General features: G+C 56.1%; 1 protein-coding gene, 1 long non-coding RNA gene, 1 other non-coding gene and 1 pseudogene across 20 annotated transcripts in view, besides 6 other annotated features; 2 read left to right on the forward strand and 2 right to left on the reverse strand.

Moving 5' to 3' along the window:
• Positions 1 to 23,254, reverse strand: part of TMEM184B (transmembrane protein 184B) — a 56,616-nt gene that overhangs the window by 1,089 nt on the left and 32,273 nt on the right. For 7 of the 18 annotated variants that reach the window (XM_011530113.2, XM_017028754.2, XM_011530114.2 and 4 more), the window contains 6 exons: positions 13,761 to 13,851; positions 13,186 to 13,261; positions 9,296 to 9,387; positions 7,941 to 8,110; positions 7,302 to 7,496; positions 1,808 to 4,263 (listed from right to left, as the gene is read on the reverse strand). In XM_011530113.2, the coding sequence (XP_011528415.1) occupies positions 3,986 to 4,263; positions 7,302 to 7,496; positions 7,941 to 8,110; positions 9,296 to 9,387; positions 13,186 to 13,261; positions 13,761 to 13,851 (902 nt within the window). In that variant the 3' untranslated portion in view covers positions 1,808 to 3,985. Of the gene's footprint in view, positions 1 to 1,807; positions 4,264 to 5,158; positions 5,180 to 7,301; positions 7,497 to 7,940; positions 8,111 to 9,295; positions 9,388 to 13,185; positions 13,262 to 13,760; positions 13,852 to 23,254 lie in introns of those variants that run through there. The other 11 variants (XM_017028759.2, NM_012264.5, NM_001195072.2 and 8 more) reach the window with 3 other exon arrangements.
• Positions 723 to 1,922: an enhancer, noted in NCBI's record as "P300/CBP strongly-dependent group 1 enhancer chr22:38614213-38615412 (GRCh37/hg19 assembly coordinates)". NCBI's record gives its function as "activates an origin of replication core promoter dependent on BRD2, BRD4, P300/CBP, MED14 and CDK7 cofactors, with strong dependence on P300/CBP, by STARR-seq in HCT116 cells {active_cell/tissue: HCT116}" and the evidence as "EXISTENCE:reporter gene assay evidence [ECO:0000049][PMID:35650434]".
• Positions 723 to 2,046: a biological region, named in NCBI's record as "P300/CBP strongly-dependent group 1 enhancer GRCh37_chr22:38614213-38615412".
• Positions 1,195 to 2,046: an enhancer, noted in NCBI's record as "H3K27ac-H3K4me1 hESC enhancer chr22:38614685-38615536 (GRCh37/hg19 assembly coordinates)". NCBI's record gives its function as "activates a minimal SCP1, AML or CMV promoter by ChIP-STARR-seq in primed H9 embryonic stem cells {active_cell/tissue: H9 hESC(primed)}" and the evidence as "EXISTENCE:reporter gene assay evidence [ECO:0000049][PMID:30033119]".
• Positions 5,260 to 5,760: an enhancer, noted in NCBI's record as "H3K4me1 hESC enhancer chr22:38618750-38619250 (GRCh37/hg19 assembly coordinates)". NCBI's record gives its function as "activates a minimal SCP1, AML or CMV promoter by ChIP-STARR-seq in naive H9 embryonic stem cells {active_cell/tissue: H9 hESC(naive)}" and the evidence as "EXISTENCE:reporter gene assay evidence [ECO:0000049][PMID:30033119]".
• Positions 6,996 to 7,237, reverse strand: SNORA92 (small nucleolar RNA, H/ACA box 92). The gene has a single exon (NR_132774.1). It is a non-coding gene; the product is annotated as a small nucleolar RNA, H/ACA box 92 (small nucleolar RNA).
• Positions 7,176 to 7,676: an enhancer, noted in NCBI's record as "H3K4me1 hESC enhancer chr22:38620666-38621166 (GRCh37/hg19 assembly coordinates)". NCBI's record gives its function as "activates a minimal SCP1, AML or CMV promoter by ChIP-STARR-seq in naive H9 embryonic stem cells {active_cell/tissue: H9 hESC(naive)}" and the evidence as "EXISTENCE:reporter gene assay evidence [ECO:0000049][PMID:30033119]".
• Positions 11,501 to 12,231: an enhancer, noted in NCBI's record as "H3K27ac-H3K4me1 hESC enhancer chr22:38624990-38625720 (GRCh37/hg19 assembly coordinates)". NCBI's record gives its function as "activates a minimal SCP1, AML or CMV promoter by ChIP-STARR-seq in primed H9 embryonic stem cells {active_cell/tissue: H9 hESC(primed)}" and the evidence as "EXISTENCE:reporter gene assay evidence [ECO:0000049][PMID:30033119]".
• TMEM184B-AS1 (TMEM184B antisense RNA 1) lies at positions 13,837 to 14,765 on the forward strand. Its single transcript, NR_186700.1, has 2 exons — positions 13,837 to 13,932; positions 14,565 to 14,765. It is a non-coding gene; the product is annotated as a TMEM184B antisense RNA 1 (long non-coding RNA).
• RN7SL704P (RNA, 7SL, cytoplasmic 704, pseudogene) lies at positions 14,238 to 14,517 on the forward strand (annotated as a pseudogene).

Below are 23,254 nucleotides of genomic sequence, written 5' to 3' on the forward strand. Positions count from 1 at the left end.
CAAAAAAAATTAGCCGGGCATGGTGGCGGGCGCCTGTAGTCCCAGCTACTCGGGAGGCTGAGGCAGGAGAATGGTGTGAAGCCGGGAGGCGGAGCTTGCAGTGAGCTGAGATCGCGCCACTGGACTCCAGCCTGGGCGACAGAGTGAGACTCCGTCTCAAAAAAAAAAAGAAAAACAAAACAAAAAACAGAAAAACATAGCTGAGTGTGGTGGCGCATGTCTGTAGTCCTGGCTACTCAGGAGGTTGAGACAAGAGAGAATCGCTTAAACCCGGGAAGCAGAGGTTGCAGTAAGCTGAGATCGCGCCACTGCACTCCAGCCTGGGTGACAGAGCAAGACTCCATCTCAAAAAAAAAAAAAAAAAGAAAAGAAAAGAAAAGAAAACAATTAGCCAGTCATGGTGGTGTGGTTGAGCCCAGGAGTTTGAGGCTGCAGTGAGCTATGATTGCACCACTGCACAATCTAGGTGACACAGACCCTGTCTCAAAAGAAGAAGAAATTTAGGGTTAAATTCCCTGGGCATCCCTTTAGTGAACAGACAGTCCCACCCAGAGAGGAAAAAACCCAGATTTCAGAGTAATTTTTCCAGCACTTTCACATTGAGATCTGATTTTCTACAGCCAAGTGGAAACTATCTTCCCCATGTTTCGGAATGCCCAGGGAGGCAGGGAGAGTGGCTTTCCCAGCCCCCACCTGCAGGCCTAAACCATAACCCTGTGTCTTGTCCTAGGCCTCAAACTCACTAATTTCAACCCAATCTGCCAGCCCTTCTGGGGCACCCTGAAGAAGGAGTGGAGTATACTGTGGTCTGTGGGTCACGGCAATTGGGGTTTGAATCTAGGTGTCTGTTCTTAGCTGTGGGATCTTTGGTACTTATTTGGTTTCTTACAGTCTCAGTTTACCATCTGTAAAATGAAGATGCTATGGGGCATTACGTGCGAAAAACCCTGGAGACCTGTGGGGCTGCAGGTTTTAACACTCCGAACACACATTTACAGTGGCACAGACCGAGGTGAGGCCAACTCTATGGCTGGGTATGGGGCTGGCTGGGTATGGGGCCCGCGGGGTAAGGGACCAGTTGGGCGAAGGTGCAGGATTTGAGTCCGGGAAAGGGCCAGATCACGTAGGTAGGCCGTGTCCACGGGGCTTTCTCCCCTTCTCAGGTTGGGGCTCGGTGCTTTCCCTGCCAAGCCCATGACCCTGAAATGCTGAGCTCAGGCCTGCGGGAAGGGCAGCAGGAAGCTGCGGGAGGACGCAGGCTATTTACCCGCCTCGGGAGGCTGGTGGGAATTCCCCCACCCACACCGCATTCCTGAGTGCTCCCGTCAGCAGCAAGCCAGGCCCCAAGAAGGCATGCGGTACCAGAGAGGCCAGGCACTGTGCCCACAGCCAGCGGCCCCCTGCCCCAGGGTCCCTGGCCCTGAGGGTCCCAGGGTGGAGGACAGTCCCAGAGACGCAGGAAGCTCGTCTGAAAGGGGGATCCCAGGAAATCCTGGGAGATGCCTGCAGGAGCGGGGCTGCCAGCATGTGGGCCCCATGGACCTGGTTGACCAAACAGGGAAGGAGCATCGACCGCCTGCGGCCCGGCCGTCCTGGGTTGGGAACTGGCTGGAGGTTGGGGAGACCCTTTGTCCAAGGGGGGCCTGGGCCTTGACCTTGGTCCCTATCAATCCGAACCCCCATCACTGAAAGGTTACACACAGGAAGGAGAGGGTTTCCTAAGCCGCCTGTACCCACAGCCACTCCACCCACCCCAAAGCCAGAGCAGGGGGCAGGGAGGAGGAAGGAAAAACCTCACCCACAGGCAGAGATTTCAATACAATCTATATTATCTCATATATAGATTTCTTCCTCACTTTATTTGCTCACTTCTGTCACGCATTTAAAATGTCACAGAGACCAAAATAGAGTGGCTTTCTGGTGGAACTCATGGCAGTCATACAACAAGATACAAAACTAGGAGACTCTGTCTTCTCATACATCATACAATTAATTTTTCAAGTATTCTTTATGTACAAAGAGCTACTCTACCTGGAAAGAAAATTAAAAAAAAAAAAGACAAGGTAGGTTATGCATCCTAAGGAGGAGGAGGGGATGGAGCGGTCGGGCACATGTTCCCGTCCCCACGACCCCACGGACCGCTGATTCCCTGCCACTGAGCTCCCCCCACCCTCCACGCAAACAGCAACGCTGGGCAGGCGAAAACCAAGGGAGTGGGAATCAGCAGCACTTTGGCCTGGAGGGAGAAGGGAAGCCACGGTGGAGAGACAGCTTGGTGAAAGCAGATGGCGGGGCAGGGCCAGGGCTGGTCCTCAGCCTGTGTCTGCACCCACCCTCCCGGGCAGCTTGGGCCCAACTGCTCCGCCCCCCCAAGATGGAGGGGGAGAGCTGGCCTCTGGCACCCACATGCAGGCCTCTGCCACGAGGAAAGGAAGGAGGCCAGGAAGACGGCTGGGCCCCAACTCTCCTCACAGGTGGCAGGGAGGGAACCTGTTCATTCCAGGAAGGACCAAAAGAAAGAATCCCCAGTGAACACCGGCAGGGTCCCTCTCCCTTACCCTACCAGCTTCTCCAGGTGACTGCAGCCCAAACCCAGGGATAATCTGGGTTTTAAATGCCAGGACACTTTGCCTGTAGGGACACGTGTTGTGACACGAGGCTCTTCCTAAGTCAGGAGCTAGTATAAGCCCAGCCTGCTGGGGGTTCCGGAGGCCCCAGGTCTAGAGGTGTGGAGGGGGAGAGGAGGGGCTTGGTGGTCCTGACCACTCCTGAGGCCTGTCCAAGGGCTCTGGGCCCAGCACTGCAGGATCCTGCGAGTGCCAGCAGCTGAACTAAGAGCCCCAGGGAGCGTGTGGGACAGATGGGGAGCCAGGGAGGGGCGCTTTCATATGTGACTAAGGCACAGAAGAGATGGGCCAGGGGCCAGATGGGGTAGAACACCAGGCCCTGTGTGGATAGGGGCCCCGAGAGGAGTCTGGGACCATTCCCCCCACCTCCCAGCTCCCCACTGTGTGGCCACCCCTCCCGGTCTCCCTGCCGGACTGCCTTCCCCCAGAAGCTGGTCTGAAACGTGGAGACTCAGACCTTTCCCCTGAAACGGGAGGGAGAAGCCCCAAAGAGAGAGAGGACCCAGCATCAGCCTGGGAAGGAGGGCTGGGAGCCCCTGAGCCCTGAAGCAGCCAGGAAGCAAGGGCTCTGCCCAAAGCTATCGAGGAAGGACCCAAGTGAGCCGGCAGTGCGGGCTGTGGGCTGTCCTTGGTAGGCCAGGGGGAAGGGGCATGAGGCAGGCAGAGGTGTGGCCACGACAGGTGGGGATACCCAGGGGCCCAGAAGCCCCTGCTTCAACAGAAGCGGTGCCCAGGGGCCCTGAATGCCCTTCCTGGGTGGGGCCTGTGACTCCTGGTGTCTGGCTCTGATCCTTGCAGCATGCCACAGAGGCCTGGGTCAGGAGGGGAGGACCACAGAGCGCCCACATCCCCACTCCTGCCCGGGGTGAGGTGAATCTAGCACTGGACAAAGGTGGACAGGGGAGGGATGCAGGCGGGAAGAGCCCAGGTCAGACAGGGTATTGCACGGTGTGTGGGGGAGCCACGGCTTGCCGACCTCAGCCTGAGAGTCTCGCGGGGAGGAGGGGCTAGAAGGCTGCAGCCGCTGGTCCACACACAAGCATTGGGGCCTGGGTGCGGCTGGTCCCAGCATGCCCCCAGCACAGGACGGGCAGCAGGGGCATAAGCCTTGCTCCCAGTGTCCTCTGCCCTCGCCCGGGCAGTGCAGGCTGGGCCATGTATAAATATTCCTGAAGGCCCATGGGCGAGCCTGGCTGTCCCCCGTTCCTCTGGAAGTGACATGTGAGTGTTTCTGGTCCAATAAATAAAGGCGGCGTGAGCACTGTGCCAGCTGCCTCCTGGCCTGGTGGTGAGGCTGGAGGTGGGGCACAGCCTGACCGTGGCTATGGCGCCAGCACTTCCGCCACTGCAGCCCGCACCTAGAATTCATCATCAGAGCTGAGCAGGAGAGTCTTCTCGTTGTCGCGGGCGCCACTGAGGCTGTGGGAGCGGGAGAGGCCGTGGGCGCCACCACGCCAGGTGGGCCCAGGCTCCAGGGTGGACTGCTGCGTGTACTGCTGGTAGGCAGGTGAGAAGTTGTGGATGGCGTCCTGCACGATGTCGTGCGGGTTCATGGTCTCCTTGAGGCTGCTGGAGATGCTCTTCATGGGGGCACAGCGGCCTGCCGGGCAGGGAGCGGGAGGGGCAGGTGAGGAGGCTGGGACGGTGAGAGGGAGGTGGCTCAGCCCCTGCCCGTGATCCTGGGACAGACACCCCCCAACCCAAAGCTATGCCCTTCAACCATCCCTTCTGGGACAGAGAATGGGGTCCAGGATATGAGAAGGGGCAGGAAAAAATGGACTTCTTTGGCTGGGGAGCCCCAAGGGGAGGCTGGACTGTGAAGAGGAGCAGACATAAACCCCCACTGGGAGCTGGGCTGGCTGCAGGGAAGGGACCCAGGGTGGAGACTGGCAAGCTATGGGCAGTGAGCCTAGAATGCCCCAGAGAGGCCAGAGCAGGCTCAGCACTGACTGAAGTTGGGGCATGTGGGGCCAGAGGGCCTGGAAGCCAGGGGTGCCCGGTTCCACAGGTGCCAGGCGCGTCCCCCACCACCGGGGGAAGTGCTGTGCTCCCTCTACTCTGGAGATCAGGACCAGGCTGGCCTGCACCCCCAGGGGAGCAGATGCGACTCACTGGCTCCCTCTAAGAGGGCTTCCTCCTCATCTCTCTAATCAACTGTCCCCATCCTCAGGGGCTCAGAGCAGAAAGGTGGCCCAGGACACCTGGATGTAAGGGACGAGCCCACCCCTGGAACCCAGGATTCCTGACTCAGCTTGTGAACTCTTGGAAACATCGTGAAATGCCCCGATATCCCATGAACAGCACTGTGCCCCCAGAAGAAGGCGGGGCATATTCCAGAACGAGAAACGAGGACGGAAGCAGGCAAGCTCTACAGAGGGTGGCCCTTGACAGGTGCTCTGGGCGCTCCCACCCAGGGGGTGCCGGTGGGGAGGAGATGAGGACACGGAGAAGAGCTACAGAGAGACGCATGCCAGTGACAGTGACCAGAACTGACATGCAGGACAGACATGCAGACCAAGAGCGGGACCTACCGTAAGGGCCGTATGTTGGCACTGCCCGCGGCCAAACCCCGGGCAAAAGCAGGGCAAGGGGGGCGGGGAGAGAAGCCAAAGAAATAGAGAAGACAAGAGACAGCTGAGTGAACAATGTGTGCCCACCACCGAGGCCCACCAGCACGACACACCACACACCCTGTCCCCACCCCCCCAGGCCCCACAGGGCACCCAGGAAGCTCCAGGTGCCTCCTGGGGCCTGGCAGGGGGGATATCCACCTAGGGATGACTCCTCCCCTGGTGTTCACGCCAACAGGAAACATCCGTCTGGCGACTGAGTTCCGCCTCCACGTCTAGGTCAGGACGTCCCATCCCCACTTCTTCCCCGGCTAGCCTGGGGCCACATCCACACCTCACATTTTACAAACCTCACAACACTTCCCAGACCAGGACATGGAGGCTCAGAGGGAGGGGTTACAATCGCACAGCTGAGCCAGCTCTGCACCTAAGCCTATCCTGAGGGCTGAGGGTCTGGGCCTGGGTTAGAGGGTAGCAGGGGGCTCAGGACCAGTGGGGAGGCAGAAGAGGGCAAGCAGCTTCCCCGGCCGGGCGTGGGTATGTCTAGAGGGACAGCTCAGGCCAGGCAGCAGAGCCCCTCTGCTGAGCCCCAGTGGTGCAGGAATGGTTCTCTGCCATGGGCCCCCTTGCTCCTTGGGGTGGCCCCAGGCCCCAGGCCCAAGGATGATGTTCCCACGGGCACAGGGTATACCACACCAGGTCCAAGGGACACTGCCCTCAATGCTGGGTGTGTGTTTGCTAGATCCTTCCAACTGGGCCACCAGGTGGCAACCCCTGGCCTTTGTGCACCTGCTCTTTGGGCACAGAGTAGGTCTTCCCCCACCAGGGAAGGCACAGAGGAAGGGGGGCGGGAAGTGGGCCGCGGAGCCCCGCTGCAGGCAGACATTTCTACAGTCCACACCACCCACCACGGAGCCTGTGTGGGGCCTGCAGGTAGGCCCTGGGGAAGTGGGTTTCTTGCCTCCAGCCACTCGGGCAGACAGCTGGCAGCAGCCAGGCTCCTGGGTGGATGTGTCAGAGAAGGAGGCTCCCCTCTCCCCAGTCCCTCCTGCCCCTTTACTGGCTCAATCAGTCTCAGGCATTCCCAGCCTCCTCTTCCCCATCCTCCAAGGACAACCCCCTTCTGCCCAGTGGCCAGAGGCAGCCCTTCCAGCCCAGTGGAGCGTCCCGGGCAGCAGCACTTTCACATCACCCTGGGAGTGCTTAAAGCACAGAACTCTCACAGCACACCCAGCCTGCCAGCCCGGACCCATTACAGCGGGATCTCCGAGGGTGGGGCTGGGTATCAGCACTTCCAAAAGCTCTCCAGGGCATTTTCCAGTACAACTGGGGCTACTTACCACTGTTCTAGCAAGGAGGAAGATTCGCAGGTGTAAAAGAAAGCTGTTAAAACCTATTACCATCCGAGTCTGTTTCTCAGAAGTATTCTTTTTTTTCTTTCTTTCTTTTTTTTGAGACGGAGTCTTGCTCTGTCACCCAGGCTGGAGTGCAATGGCACAATCTCGCTCACTGCAAGCTCCGCCTCCTGGATTCACACCATTCTCCTGCCTCAGCCTCCCGAGTAGCTCGGACTACAAGCACCCGCCACCACGCCCGGCTAATTTTTTGTATTTTTAGTAGAGACAGGGTTTCACCGTGTTAGCCAGGATGGTCTCGATCTCCTGACCTTGTGATCCACCCGCCTCGGCCTCCCAAAGTGCTGGGATTATAGGCGTGAGCCACCGTGCCCGGCCAGAAGTATCCTTTTTTTAAAAAATAGCATATGAGATGAGGGAATTACAGGACAAAATGGTAACCACAGTGTTGGGAGTTAGAAGCCCGAGGGAATTTGTCTATTCATTACAGTCTCTGTCTGTATCAGCCCTGGACCGCCACACTTGGACCTGCTGCAAGGGACAGGTGGCCTGAGCTTCCAGGACCGAATCGGTCGTGCTGGTGGCACCTGCTCTTCCCCGACCTCTGTGGCCCCATTCCTGCATATAGAGTGGGGATCCCATGTCCTGACCCAGCCGCACCTGTAGGATGCTGGGAGGTGGGAGGGTCCTGGGATGTTTGGGGCTCCCTGCTTCTCCCAGCGGGGGTCGCCTAGGACCCTGGCTCATACCTTGTGCGTCCAGCCTCTTGTCAGCATAGACCTTGTAGGTGAAGGCGTGCCGCAGGGCCAGGGCTGCAAAGAACATCTCCACACAGATGATGAAGTCCTGGTAGCCGGCAGCCACGGTGCCCTCGCCCACCGACACGCGGGCCGAGTGGATTTTGGGGATGGCCCCACACTTCTCCAGGATGGCCAGGAGCATGCCTGGATGGGGAGGCACGGGTGTCTGGACCCAGAATGATTCCTTTCCTGCTCCCCCTTCTTCCACAATGCCCCATTCAGCTGCCCACATGCCCCAGTGAGGATGTGAGCAGGGCCACAGCTGCTCCTGCAGGGCAGGGGTAGCGACACAAGGCCACAGCCTCCGGAAACCCCACTCTCCCAGCTCTTTGCCACCGAAACTGAGATGCCAGCAATTACGCAGGGTCTCCTGGGCCCTCTCATCCATGTAGCGGCCCCACCAAAGCTCTCCCTAGCCCCTGGGAAAGGCCCTCGAGGGCTCAGATTTCACCCCCAGCAAGTGCCCAGTGGGCTGAGGCCCCTCTGAACAGGCCCTACAGGCACCAGGGACCATAAGCAGAAGGGGCAGCAGGAAGCGCAGAGGACAGGGTGGCATGGGCAGCCTCCAGGTGCTGGGAGGGGGCTCACCTTGCCAGAAGGAAAGAAAGATGACGGACTTGACCATGAAGAACTTGAGGACGGGGCTGTAGGGGCTGAGCAGCTCCCGGGTGGCGAAGTAGAAGAGGAAGAGGGCGTAGAGGGCCAGGCTGACGGAGATGTTGTAGATGATGGTCACGTAGAGGTAGCCACTGGTGACGCTGCGGGACGGGGAGCATTTTCTGGCTGGGACAGACCCTTGGAGGGAAGGGGCTCTCCTCGACTGCACCACACACAGTCCCCATGGCTCTCAGCCCCACACCTCCAGCAGAGCTCAACGAGCCACTGAAGGGGTCAGAATGGGTGATCAAAGCGACAGACAGGGGTGGGGGTACATGGGGTGCGCCTGCAGGCCAGACCAGCTCTACTGCCTCTGCGTGGCTCGTGGACTTGTCTAAGCCCTGGTGCCCACACTCCTAACGTTGGACACCAGTGTGGAAGCCAGGGCCGGGCCCGAGGCCATAGCCTGACACTCAGATAACAGGCGTCAAAATAGGTGACGCTGCTCAGCTCTGCTGCCTTTTCACTCGGTCGGCTGCATCCCCCTGACCTCCTTTTGCCCACCTGCCCTGGCAGGGCTGTTACACAGTTCACAGACAGTGTGTGCCGAGAGCTTGAAAGCACAGGGCTAGACACATGGTCACTTTTTTTTTTTTTTTTTTTAGATATGGAGTTTTGTTCTTGTCACCCAGGCTAGAGTGCAATGGCGTGATCTTGGCTCACCGCAACCTCTGCCTCCTGGGTTCAAGCGATTCTCCTGCCTCAGCCTCCCGAGTAGCTGGGATTATAGGCACCCGTCACCACGCCCGGTTAATTTTTTGTATTTTTAGTAGTGATGGGGTTTCACCATGTTGGCCAGGCTGGTCTTGAACTCCTGACCTCAGGTGATCTACCCGCGTTGGCCTCCCAAAGTGCTAGGATTACAGGCGTGAACCACTGTGCCCAGCCACGGGGTCACTTTCACTAAGCCCAGAATGAAATGGGTGTGGACAATTTACACAGCACGGGCTTTGTATCTGTGGACTTGAGCCGACCTCTTGGGGCTCTGACCCTCTCGCTCCCTGCCTCAGCAGTGGTCACTGTCCCTTTGTGGCCCATCCCTTCATGGTACCACTCTGCAGCCTGGACATGAACGTGACTGCTGCCAATGGCTCACTCCGGGGCTGGCAGCGGGGCCAACTGCAAGGGTGTCCACTGCTGGGCTCAGACTTCAGGGGGGTTGTGAGCACCAGACACCCAGGAAGGTCATGGCTGTGCGGCCACTCTGGCTGCCCCCTTCCCTGAGCCAAGGCACCAGCCTGCGCCAACACTCCTCCCACACACCCCGGGGAGCACCCGCTGCTTACTCAAAGTCCCCATCCCGGTACTTGCCGAAGGCCTGGAGGACCACAGTGCTGACCGCCATGAGTGGCTTCACCACACAGAACTGCAGGGTGGCCTGTTGGGGGGAAAAGGAGGTTGAGTGTGGAGGAGGAGCACAGAAGGCATGAAGCAAGCCCTGCCTCTGGCAGACGGAACTGTACCGGATGGAGGGACAGAGAGGATGAAGGAGACGGAGAGGACGGAGGGATGGAGGGACGGAGGGGATGGAGGGACGAAGGGATGGAGGGGATGGAAGGATAGAGGAGATGGAGGAGATGGGGGGTGGCTACGTGTCCTGCTCCCAGGGGACTGCTGTCTGCGCGGGGCGGGGGGCAGAACATATAGGAGATGCAGCCAGCGCAATGCCGTATGTGATATGAGCATGTGGAGGAAGGGAGGGAGGAAGGGAGGAATGGTGTGGCAGGGCACGATGGAGGCGGGAGACAGGAGATGCACACAAGGAAGCTTCTCGAGCCAGGACCATCAGGTGGGTGCCGGAGATGAGAGGCTCGACAGGCAGAGGGGGCAGCTTGCACCAAGGCCCCGAGGCAGAGGGTGGACAGGTGCAAGGGGCTGCGCACTAGAGAGGTGGCTGAGGAGATGGGCAGGGCCAGGTCCTGGAGACCTTGGTGCCCGGGGCAAGGCTAGGGCCCTGCTCAAGGAACCAGCCACCGGGAAGCCGGCGCAGGTGAGGGCCTCCTCCCATCCTCCATGTCCACCCCCGATCTGGTTCCTAGCCCTACTCTCTGGGCCTGGGTCCAGGGTTTCTGGTCAGCAGAGGTCACTCTGGGGATGGAGGTGACCTGCAGGAGCCCAGAGCACGTGGACTCCAGAGTCTCAAAATCTGAGTTTGAACTCTGGGGACAGCTTGGGCAGACACTTGGCCTCTGAGCACAGACTCCCTGATGAAAAGGATGTAGTCACTCCCCACACCACAGGGCCACTGCTGCGGGGATGGCACAGCCAGGAAGCGCAGCATCTTCTCGGGAGTCTCCCGCCTCTGTACATGCACTAACGGCGCCTGCTAGCTGGCTGAGCCACGGAAAGAGTTCCTCAGCCAGGTTTTCCCGATTCCCTACGGGCGGACCCATGGTGCCCATAACATCACTAGTATCACCATTATCTAGAAAGCAAATAAATCTAAGCCCTAAGACCCCTTCTGAGGAGCTGGGGGAGGTTAAATCCAATCCAAAAGGCTCAACTAGTGTAGCTGCAAAGAGGACGAGGAGCCTGGAGTGGGAACCGTGATCCGTGAAACCTGCAGCTTCTGCCCCAACTGGGGATCTGAGTGGGTCTTGCAGGGGAGCCCCAGGCAGCCCACACCATGGGGCTGCCATACGGAGAGGCCCGCGTGATGGGGCAGACGTGCAGTCCCACTCTCAGAAAGCCCCACAGAACGTCCCTGGCCCTGTCATCCCGCCTAGAGAAGTGGGACTGGCACCTTCTGGGGAAAAGGGAAGAACGGCAGTTTGCATGAGTTCCAGTTATGAGCCTAGCAACAGGCTGGTGTTTCCCTGGGTCAGCTCACCTGGTACTCATGACAGCCCCCTGACGTGGGTGCTGTCATTATCCCCATGGTACAGGTGAGGAAACTGAGGCAGAGAGAAGCTGAAGCAGCAGCAGCAGCAGCAGCAGAGCCCAGGCCAGCAGGCCCCAGAATCATCACCTGACCATACCCTGGACCAGTCAGCAGTTCCCAGGCTGGGCTGGACATCAGAACCCCCAGGGAGCTTTAGACATGTGCCAGGTTCCAGGGCTCCATTCCAGAACTTCTCCTATGGGCTAGGGTAGTGGGTGGTTGATCTGGGAATCTCTACTTTAAGTAGGGAATCTCTCCAGAAGGTCTGGATATTGAGCACTGGCCCTGAGGAGTCAAAGGCCTGTCTCTGTGCCTCTAGGACAAAGCTGTGGGGTGTGCTCTCTCGCCCTGGTAAAGAAAGGAAGAGGCCTCTTTTGTTCTCTTTCTTCTTATATCTCTCCCTGCCACCGCCAGGAACAAGAACAGAACATCTGAGCCCACAGGGCTGGGGAATAATTTCTAACAAGGCCACACTAGCTAACAATCATGAAATCAAAATTTTGTAGACAATATAATCATCAAACAAGGCAGTGAGTCACAGCTGGCCGGAACCTGGGTGGCTGCACCAACTGGTAAACAATGGCTCTCAATGCCCCACCCTGAACCCAGGATAGTTTTAACTCTTTCCCTGCAGGTCCAGTGGTGAGATTCTGAATTTAGGAACATGCTAGGGAAGGAAGGTCTGGAAGCAGAACTGGAGACTTGGCATGTTCAGGTGGAGGCTTTGTGGGTGTGCCCGCCCTGTGGCCTGGGCCCTGCACAGAAGGGAGCAGCAGGCCCCGCCCTCCAGGGCCATCGTGACTTGGCTGTGGGTTTCATGTACTTTCGTGACTACTCTTGGCGAAGCTGGAGGGGCTGACATGACAGAGCCCCTACGGAGCCCCAGAGGAGACTAACGCAAGGTCATGAAGAGTGGGCGTGATCCCCTCAGACTCTGCCTCCCTGAACAGGAGGCCGTGGGCTCCACCACGCCGGGCTGAAAGCTCTACATCCATGACCTCATCTGATCCTCACAACCATCTCTAGAGAGGAGTATCATTACACTCATTTTACAGTGGAGGAAACTAAAGCTCAGAGAGGGTAAGCCAATTATCCAAGGTCACAGAGTCAGAGGAAAAGCTGGAAATCAGGCTCAGATGGTCAGACACCCAGGCCCACACACTGAGCGACCCCACCACACTGCCCCCACCCAGGCTACTCTAGACCACAGGGAGGTCAGCCCAGGAAGCTAGAGCAGCTGGATTGCCAAGGCTACTCTAGACCACAGGGAGGTCAGCCCAGGAAGCTAGAGTGGCTGGATTGCCAAGGCTACTCTAGACCACAGGGAGGCCAGCCCAGGAAGCTAGAGCGGCTGGATTGCCAAGGCTACTCTAGACCACAGGGAGGTCAGCCCAGGAAGCTAGAGCGGCTGGATTGCCAAGGCTACTCTAGACCACAGGGAGGTCAGCCCAGGAAGCTAGAGCGGCTGGATTGCCAAGGCTACTCTAGACCACAGGGAGGTCAGCCCAGGAAGCTAGAGCGGCTGGATTGCCAAGGCTACTCTAGACCACAGGGAGGCCAGCCCAGGAAGCTAGAGCGGCTGGATTGCCAAGGCTACTCTAGACCACAGGGAGGTCAGCCCAGGAAGCTAGAGCGGCTGGATTGCCAAGGCTACTCTAGACCACAGGGAGGCCAGCCCAGGAAGCTAGAGCGGCTGGATTGCCAAGGCTACTCTAGACCACAGGGAGGTCAGCCCAGGAAGCTAGAGCGGCTGGATTGCCAAGGCTACTCTAGACCACAGGGAGGCCAGCCCAGGAAGCTAGAGCGGCTGGACTGCCAAGGCTACTCTAGACCACAGGGAAGTCAGCCCAGGAAGCTAGAGCGGCTGGATTGCCAACCAGGAAATGCAGGGAGAGACGAAGAGACGGCAGAGGCCTGTTCTGGCGTGTGTCTTTAATGCCAAAACCCTCCTGCCCCCTAGCTGCAGCTGATGAGAAGTTTTCAAATGGAGGTTCTAGAATCCCCACGCACTTCTTCTGATTTTCACACACACTGAGACTTGGTCACACGAGCAAGAGTCTGGGATCAGCTCTTGCCCACAGTGCAACAGACACTCCCAGGATGTCGGTCGCTGCCCCTCCAAGCACACCCTGCTAATGTGGTATCTGCCTAACAGCTTCGGGGGGTGGGTGCTGGGGGCCTGGGGTGCCTCATAGGAAAGGGGACCTCTAAGGTGGGGCCCAGGGCAGCCCACGGCAGGGCCTCCCAGACCCCGCCCTGCTCCTCCTGAGCTAGGCAGCTGCTGGGGGCACACACCTGTTTGCAGAACCTCAGAAATCCGATGGAATAAGTCTTTCCCCAGAGGCAGCAGGTGCCATACATACAGCTGGACCTGGAAGAGACAAGCATAGCAGGCAGTGGCAGTGAGTGAAGAGCCAGGACTTGGGAACAGTGGGGTGGGGAAGGCCGCCCTCCCACCCATCCAGACGAGCTGGGGCACACATTCTGGGCAGACTTTGAACCCGAGGCCAAGCACAGGGAGAGGCATGGCAGGGCATCCGCACATGCCATAGGCGGAGGGACACAGGGCTGCACTGGCCCTGGGGTGACAAACCAACTTGGAGAGCTCTGAATGTAAAAACTGCAGGAGGCAGAAACAGACAGGAAAGCACTAAGACTGAGACAGGAAGAGACAGAGAGAGAAAGACTGAGCCGCAGAGGCCCTCCTAAAACGCCCAGAAGAATGGCGTTGCTCAGGAAATGTGGTGAGGCACAGCAGGTCAAGGTCACGGGCAGACATGGTCTGTGTCCAGCTGGTGCCAGGACGGCTCGAGGTACACCAGGCCCAGGAAACGGGGTGGTTTAGGGCTCTGGGAAGACTCCATACTCACTCAATGGGTTTTCCTCTGATCTCCGACATGATGGAACTTTCTCCTCCTAGGTACTCATAGCACAGGCTCAGGAAATTATAGATGACCAAGGCTGCGAAGAGAGTGTCCAGGAGAAACCAGTCAAATCAGCAGAATGGGTCCGCAGATGCTGGGATTCTAAACAGCAATGGAGGTGAAAGAGCCACAGCTGTGTGTGGCAACAGGGAGGAGGCTGGGGGACATAAGGTTGTGCAAAAGGAGCCCGTCAAGAACACAGACATCTGACCTCCCACTCCTAAGTTCAAAACCCGGCACACCTAAATTATCTTATCCCGGGATGCACCCCTGCACTGGCGTAATACTATGAAGGGACTGTCGTGAGTTCAGGGTTATGTGGGGAGGCCAGAGGAGGCTGAGGTAAGGGTGGGTACTCAGGAGGTTTGGGAGGGCTGGCAGTGTCGACCCTGGGGCGAAACAGTATTGCCTTTATTAGTTTTTCCGGGCGCAGTGGCATGCGCCTGTGGTCCCAGCTACTGCTGCGGCAGGAGGACGTCTTGAGTCTGGGAGTTCTGGGCTGTAGTGTGCTACACTGATCTGGTGTCTGCACCAAGTCTGGCAGCAGTACGGTGACCTCCTGGGAGTGGGGGATCACCAGGTTGCCGAAGGAGGGGTGAACCAGCCCAGGTTGGAAACAGAGCAAGTCAAACTCCAGAGTGGGATCGCACCTCTGAACAGCCACTGCACTCCAGCCTGGGCAACATAGCGAGACCTCATCTCTAATGTATTTATAAATAAATATTTGTCTTACATACTTGTGTGTTACAGGTCACAATTTTATAAGATAACAACAAAACAGTCTCTGTGAAAATCTTGGGAGAAATTCCAAGCAGGAGTGAGAGGGAAGAACCTTCATCCAGTCAACAACCTGTAGCGGTATCCGGAATACGCACAGCACTATGAGCTACAACAAAGCACACGGCAGCACACAGAACACAGTAAAAACCTTGGGAAGCTTGGGCTGCTCATTCTAAATTGGGACTCGGCTCAACATCTCCACAAAGACCCAAAATTTGCCACCGGGAGTGATGGCACAGCAAGTCTGCTGTAAATGTTGATGCTATAAATACAGCAACACGCTGTAACGGGTCTCCTGGTCAGGTGGTTCCTTCTGGGTCAGCAAAATGAAGGCTGCTGCCTGCAGGGTGCTAGAGGCAAATGGACATGCCAGGATGGAGGAGAGTGTGGAGAAGGCGGGGGAAGGGGTGCAGCAGACGGTACCCAAAATGAAAGAACGCAAGAGGAAGAGCCAGGGTGAGGACATGGGAATGAGGATGGGCATCCAGTAAAGGCACAAGGCCAAGGGGAGGGGCAGAACAGGGTCAGAACAGGTCGAGGGAGCCACGGTGGCCCTCCAGCCAGAGGGCTTCTTCTCATCTGACCCCGCCAGCCCCTGCAGTACAGAGTCCTTTTAGGCTCCCTGGTGCCGCCCAGCTTGGCACTTGATCTTTCAATGGGTGACCTGGTCCCTGCCCAAGCTCCCGCCACTCCCGAGCAGCACTAATGCTGCACTTCTCCCCAGAGCAGGTTCTCTTATCCTTCGGTGCTTCTGCACTCCCAGATCCCAGAGGTTCTAGCACCCTTCCCGCTGTACTCTCAGGATCCATCAACCCCAGCTGGGATGGCACCCAGTGTGACAAGTCCCCGGTGACCATCGTGGAGGTGAGTGCCCTCCTACCCACGGAACCTGATTTGCAGACACTTCCCACCCTGTGTCACAATGACTGGTCTCCCCCTCTCGCCTTCCTCAGGACACAGGTGCCACTCATGGCACACACGGGGCACACCACAACAGTTTCACTGACTGAACTGGAGCGTGGAAAGCCCTGGTGATGTTTTTTAGGCAAAGCTGGCCTTCAGCGATTTGGAAAGGAACACATTTGCGGCATTTTATGCTACTCACGGTTGCCCTAATCCATTAAGGGCTCCCATCTCCAGGTGGCATCCCCATGTATATGTCCCCCAGCACTGACCACGCCTTGTTGTGACTGTCCCTTCACCCTTCACACACATACAGCAGAGGTATGCGATGTGTGTGAGCCTCTTTGGGTTCAGTTTCCTCATCTATCAAAGGGGATCACAGGAGCACCAACTTGGCAGGTGGCTGTGAGGCGTGAGCATGAAAGTGTTCAGAAGTGTGTCCGGGGCTCACTGCGCTGGGTGTTGGCTGTCACGACCATTACCGTCTATCTGCTGCCTGCAGGGCCAGGAGCCCCTAGACAGGGCTGAGGGCTGTGTGTACTGCCTGCCTGTGCTGGAGGCAGCTCAGGATGTCTCAGGACAGACAAGTCTCCACCAATCTCCAGATGACTCTTCACCAGCAAGAACTATGGGGCAAAGGGAAAGGGGTGGGCATTAAGCCAAACCTGATGTCAGCCTGCCAGTAACCTCTGTTCAAAACCTCACAAGGCCAAGCACAATGACCGTGTCCATTCTAAGCCGGGTCCAGCTATATCATGATGGTTGTATTTTTTTTTGTTGTTTTTGTTTTTTGTTTTTGCTTTTTTTGAGACAGAGTCTCGCTCTATCCCCTAGGCTGGAGTGCAGTGGCACGATCTTGGCTCACTGCAACCTCCACCTCTAGGGTTCAAGTGGTTCTCCTGTCTCAGCCTCTGGAGTAACTGGGATTACAGGCGCACACCACCACACCCAGCTAATTTTGTATTTGTAGTACAGACAGGGTTTTACCATGTTGGCCAGGGTGGTCTTGAACTCCTGACCTCAGGTGATCCGCCCACCTCGGCCTCCCAAAGTGCTGAGATGACAGGCGTGAGCCACCGCGCCCGGCCGACGGTTGCATTTTCTAGACTGCCACACCTCGTGATGCTGACACCCCTCCTCTGAGAGGTGGGGTCTTGTTCCCTCCCTTTGTATCTGGTGGCCCTGAGTAACCACAGCCAAAGTGATGTTTTGTGACATCTGATGTAGGGGTTGGAAGAGGCCTCTTTCCTCTGGCTCTTTTTCCCTTGAATGCCTGTCCTTGCACTCAGTCACCATGCAGCGGGGAAGCACGAGCTAGCCTTTGGAGACACCGCACAGAGAGGCTCATGTGAGGGAACCGAGGCCTTCAGCTGACAGCCAGCATCAACTGCCAGGCACACAAGGGAGTGAGCCTTCAGGTGATTTGCCCCAGCCTTCACGCTCTCCTGCCAAGGCCCAGAGGTCATGGAGCAGGGACAAACTATCTCCCCTGCACCCAGTCCAAATTCTTGACCTATAATATCCATGAAGAAACTGGATGGTTGTTTTACACTAGTGTGTTTTGGCAGTAGTTATTTGCACAGCCATGGTAAGTGGAATACAGATAAAACCATGACTGAAGCTCCTGGGACGTGCTGTGATCACTCACGCCTGCATGCAATGGTACATTCTGGTCCCTCTGCTCACCGCAGAGGCAGACCCCACTGAGATGCCGCCTCTTCTGTCCTGCACCCTGCTTACTTCACACATCACCCCTCTCTGGGCTCTGCCTGATCCCTCCGGCACAAAAGCAACATTAAGTAAGGTAAAGAGCCATGGGCCCTGGAGACAGCCTGCCTTGGTTGTGAACTGTGGTCCCACCTCTTAGGAGCTGTGTGGCCTCAGGCAAGTGTCTTAAGCGCTCCATGCCCGAATCTCCTCATCTGTAAGCGGGATAACTCCTCCCTTGGTGGGGTCAGGGGCTGTGAACGTGCAGAGCCTTAGATGAGCTGAGGGCACAGTCAAGAGTCCACGGTGTGTTACCTACTGCTTTTTCCAGACTGTAAACTCCTTGCAGGTAGAATGCAGTCCTACCTCCAATGACTACCGGAGGGCCTGGCAGCTACAAACATGTCATCAACACTGAAGGAAGGAATGGACAGACGTACATGGACCATCTCCCCAGGGGAGCCTGCCATGACAACAGGCTCAGGCAGGGCAGGAGGGGACACCCCACTCTCATTCCAACACTGGAGGAGCTCCTCTCAGAGGCTGGCCCCAAGACTATCAGCTTTCCAGTCTCGAACAACAAAACCCTCCAGGGAAGCCACAGGGGCCCCAGGCCCATAAGCCCTCTCTATCTGGAAGCTCCCTCCCGGGAGAGCCCATCCCTGCAGTCCTCTCCCAAGAAAGGCTTGGCATCTGGGCTCGTGTCCTTTCCTGCATCAAAACACATGTCAGCAGTCAGCACACTTTTGAATTACGTGGCCGAGGTCCCTCCGTAACCGGCTCTGCACACAACTGATCAGAATCATCAAATGTCATCATCCCTCTCAGTTCAAGATTCTTGACCTTTTGGAGGTGCTCTGGGGCCAGCCAGTCTGTAAAGTACCAATTTGCTGACAGTTCCCTTTAAACAATCATTAGTGAGTCGATAATGGACTCCCTAATTCTTGGAGAAGATGAGACAGAATCTCCTCAGACGTGACGCAACCGGCCCAAGCCTGGCCCCACTGACCAACTGGACACATCAGTCTCCCTCCTGGAAAGTACAGAGCCATGTGAAACACCACCTCCAACATCTTAGCAAAGGTGTTTAAAATGGAAAACTCAACACATCCCCTGGAAACAAATAAAAGATGCGTGCGTGGATGTAAGAAGAGCGGAGAAGCTGAGACGGGGCTGGAGGGAGGTGCTTGACCGGGAAGCTCACTGCCCACCGCCCTTCCCACCACGGCTCCAGTACCAGACCCCTGGAGAGGCCTCGGAGACACACAATGACTCTACATCTCCCTAAATATCTACCACAGCTGGTGTGCCAGGCTCTGTGCTAAGCCCTCTCATAAATGACCAAGGAGCCCTCAGGCCAAGTCCAGAGGGCAGCAACCAGCGTGAGGGACCGGAGGGCCTCTCTCTCCTGGCCTGGACAATCAGGCTGTGTCTTCTCTGGAGGGTTTTGTCTTTGGAGACTGGAAAGTTGATGGCCTTGGGGCCAGCCTCTGGGAGGAACTCCTCCATCGTTGGAATGAGAGTAGGCTGTCCGCTCCCCACCCCCATGCCCCATCTGGAACTTTCTGCTCCATTCTAGACACCACATCTCAAACTAGAGACAAATGCACAGTATCAGGAGAGAAGGACCAGGATGAACACAAAACAAGGACTGTGCTGGGGACGAGAAGACATCAGGGGTCACTCTCTTAATAGACGTGACAACCACCTTCTTCCCAGGGGCAGATGGGACTCCCAGGGGCAGATCCCAGAAGGACTGCAGCTCAATATACTCAATATACGAAACCATTTCCTTTTTTTGTTTTTTTTTTCTTGATGCAGGATCTCACTCTGTTGCCCAGGCTGGAGCACACAGATGCGATCACGGCTCACCGCAGCCTTGACCTCCCAGGCTCAATCAATCTTCCCACCTCAGCCTCCTGAGTAGCTGGGACTACAGGTGTGGGCCACCATGCCTGCCTAATTTGTGTTTTTTGTTTTTTTGTAAAGACAGAGTTTTACCATGTTGCCCAGGCTGGTCTTGAACTCCTGGGCTCAAGTGATCCGCTGGTCTCAGCCTCCCAAAGTGCTGGGATTAAGGGCATGAGCCACTGCGCCTGGCCTATAAGAAACCATTTCTAACGGGCAGAGTCCAGAGGTGGAAGTCGTGAGCTTGCTGCCAACAGAAGCAATCAGGCTGGGTAACCCCTCAGCAGACTTTCTAAAGCAGTCCCTTCCAAACCCGAGGCTCCAGGCTTCTCCCTCGTGACTTTCCTGTCCCTTGTGGATCCTGTTATTCCTGTTTGTCGCCCTCCCAAATGCTGCTTCTGACCTCTCCTCTACTGGCTTCTTCTGAATGGCCTTCTTTCCTATTGGCAGCTCCTTGAGCCTGGGTAGGAAGCTGTAGGCCAAGAGACTGCTCCCCACCCAGCCTCTCAGCTGCCCCGTGACCTAATAAATGCTACAGGACCCAGCAGTTGTAAGGCTCTACATGTTCACATCCCCCCGCAACGGCCACCCTCATTCCCCCACAAGGAAGGAGTTATCCCCGCTTACAGATAAGGAAATTCAGGCATGGAGCACCTAAGACACTTACCCCAAGAGCCCCCGGGCTTTGAGAAAAGACTCAGTACTTGCCCTCTCACGTTTCTGCGTGCAGCTCCCAGGGTCAGGAGGCAGACACACTCATATAACTTGCTATAACTTCAATACACACTCGCTGTGTGCCTACTGTGTGCCACACACTGCGTGCGGGACCCCGATGACCCTGGGCACACTGGGCCATTCTAAGCTCACCCCCTGTGCACACCTTCAGCGCCTAAAGCTGGCCTCATGGCCCAGCCTTCTGCTGCAGAGAAACACTCTGGTTACTTGGAAAGACTGGGGGCATTCTGTATTTCAGATAACGGGTGGATGAGCCTGGAAAAGTTAATTTTGCCCACTTTGGGCAGAAATCTTCTCTGCTCAGAAAATAGGGGCCTCAGAACGTTCTTATGCCTCTTTTCAGTGATGGGTGATCATCCTGGACAAGAATGGGCACAGTGTGTTGCAACCAAGGGGGCAGGGGTCTGCGTGGTACAAGTGACCCCAGACTCTAAGCTGTGCCAAATGGTTCCTCTTCTCCTCCCTACTGTCTTTTTTTTTTTTTTTTTAGACGGAGTTTCGCTCTTGTTGCCCAGGCTGGAGAGCAATGGCAATGGCGCGATCTCACTGCAACCTCTGCCTCCTGGGTTCAAGCAATTCTCCTGCCTCAGCCTCCCGAGTGGCTGGAAGTACAGGCATGCGCCACACGCCTGGCTAATTTTGTATTTTTAGTAGAGATGGGGTTTCTCCATGTTGGCCAGGCTGGTCTCGAACTCCCGACCTTAGGTGATCCACCTGCCTCGGCCTCCCAAAGTGCTGGGATTACAGGTGTGAGCCACTGCGCCCAGCCCCCTCGCGGCTTTTTTATCCTCTGCTGATCATGCTTATTCCTGCTTCTTTCTGCCCTGAATGCTGTTTCTGACCTCTCTTCTACTGGCTTCTTCTGAATGTCTTTCTGCACTTGGATCTATCAACTTCTTTTTTTTTTTTTTTTTTGAGACAGAGTCTCTCGCTGTCGCAGGCCGGAGTGCAGTGGTGCGATCTCGGCTCACTGCAACCTCCGTCTCCTGGGTTCAAGCGATTCTCCTGCCTCAGCCTCCTGAGTAGCTGGGACTACAGGCATGCACGACCACGCCCAGCTAATTTTTGTATTTTTAGTAGAGATGGGGTTTCGCCATGTTGGCCAGGATGGTCTCGATCTCTTGACCTCACAATCCGCCCACCTTGGCCTCCCAAAGTGGTGGGATTATAGGCGTGAGCCACCGCGCCTGGCCACTATCGAGGTCTTATAATCCTTGGCTCTATCTGCAAGAGCCACAGCCAGCCAGGGAGTCCTTCTGGCAGCAAACTGGCCTCTGGCTCTTGTGTGGCCCTGCACCTGCGGCCCTCGGCTGTGCTCACCCCGGTTGGACAGTGAATGAAGCATCATTCTCTGTTGCTGTCATGCATTCAAATCTCTTTCCCTAACAGGAGTTCACACTTTTCCAGGGGAGAAACTTGTCCTGTCCTCTCTTTCACCATGCTGGCACAGAGCCCTAGGATTCAGAGACCCAGCTGCAAGTTTGGCCTTTGGCCATTACAAGATCTGGGTCACTCTGGACAAGTTTCAGAGCCTATTCAAATTTTTTTCACATTTGTAAATGGGGATAATATATATACTCTGCCAGGTACTTGGGAGGTGAGAATGAGCTAACAGTGATGAAAAACACGTGGGAAAACTGTGAAATGCCACGCAAACATTCCTAACAAACAGCAACTGCATAAAGCGACATACGGACACCGCCTCCTGCCTCTGAACCCCAAGGCCCTGTGCCTCTGATCACAGAACTCCCCAGCACTGTCTCAGAGTTGTCTTTATGGCCCACCCCCAACCCCACAATCAAACACTGAATGCATATGGGGGGTGGTTCCCACCCTGCCCCCATCTGCCTGCCCCTCCACACCCTCTGGTGACACATGCCAGCACTATGAATTCCAGCCCTCGCAGATGGTACGTGGCACTAAGCCCTCTTCCAAGACTCAGCCCTCTCTTTGAGAACAGGAAGCACTAGTCACAGGGTTCACAGGCTAAACACACACTTATCTCCACTATCCCCCTCCTCGCCCTCCTAACGCCACTGAAATGAGAAGGAATGAGGGTGGGGTGGGGAGCAAACCTTCAAGGACAAGAGGAGTGGCAACAGCCAAGCGACATCAACAAAGCTCTGAACGCCACATGCCCACCGCTCCATGGTCACCGAGTGGCGGATGGTTGGGGGTGGGGGTGGGAGTCAGAGCCCTAGGAAAAATCAGCACTGCACATGCCAGGCAGCTCTGGTGGCTGTGGGTGAGGGTGCAGACGCAGAAGCTGGTTAAAAGTCTCCACGTGGAGCCACTGCATTACAAGTTTCAACAGAGGCTGAGACAGCTCTATCCTCAGAACACGGTCCAGCTGAGGGCAGTAATGGGACAACTTGGAGAAAATCCAAAGACTAAGCCTGAATACGAAGGGCGAGAGGTCCTCTCAGATCTCTGCCACGCTGTACCAGTCACTCAGCCTGTGCAGTGTTTTGAGGCAGGAGATGAAAAATTATTCTCTACAGAAACAGGTCCCAGAATTTAAAAAGGCTTCATTTGGTACCTGCCCCCCATGCTGCATACAAACAGCCAAGGAAACACCCCATGTTCCATCACCCAATCAGGAGGTCCAGCAATTTTTTTTTTTTCTGGGGCGGGTAGAGATGAGGTCGAGGTCTCGCTCAGTTGCCCAGGCTGGAGTGCAGTGGCACGATCACAGCTCACTGCAGCCTCAAACTCCTGGGCTCAAGCCATCCTCCCGCCTCAGCCTCCTGAGTTGCTGGTATTTTAAGCCCTTCTTATATATAAAAAATAGCCAAGGATACTGATATTTGAGGAGCGCTTCTAACAAGAAGGTCAAAGACCAAAGCGACCAAACAGAAGAAAGGAATTCAAGAGATAGAGACAATGTAGGGAACAGAAGAAAACTGCAATGACCATCCCCAGAGACCAAAAAACAATACTCTCTCACGTACCAAGAACAAGGCATCATAAAGAAAAAGAATGGAGAGAGCTACTGACATTCTAAAACATGATAAAGGAACTAAAACATTCAACAGAAAAGCTCAAAGGTAAGATTAAAAAAACAAACAATCAAAAACAAAAAACAAAACAAAACAAAGTTCATGGAAAACAGTACCAAAAAAGAGCCAGAAAATTATAAAGAAAATCTGAGGCTCAATCCAGAAGCGCGAGGTCCTACTAGCAGGAATTCCAGAAAGGGAGATTGGAAGAAAGTGGAGGGGAAGAAATGATCAAAGAAACATACAGAAAGACTTCCCAGAACCTTAAGGCAGGAGCATCCACACTGGAAGGGCCCGCCAGGTTGCCGAGCACAATGACTATCCCACCTCCTGTGAGATTTCAGGACACTGGGGATTAAGACAAGATCCTAAATGCAAAGAGGAGAGGGGGGGAAAAAAAGGCAAAAA

The sequence above is a fragment of the Homo sapiens genome, chromosome 22 (assembly GCF_000001405.40).
Source record: "Homo sapiens chromosome 22, GRCh38.p14 Primary Assembly".
Taxonomy (NCBI): Eukaryota; Metazoa; Chordata; class Mammalia; order Primates; family Hominidae; genus Homo; species Homo sapiens.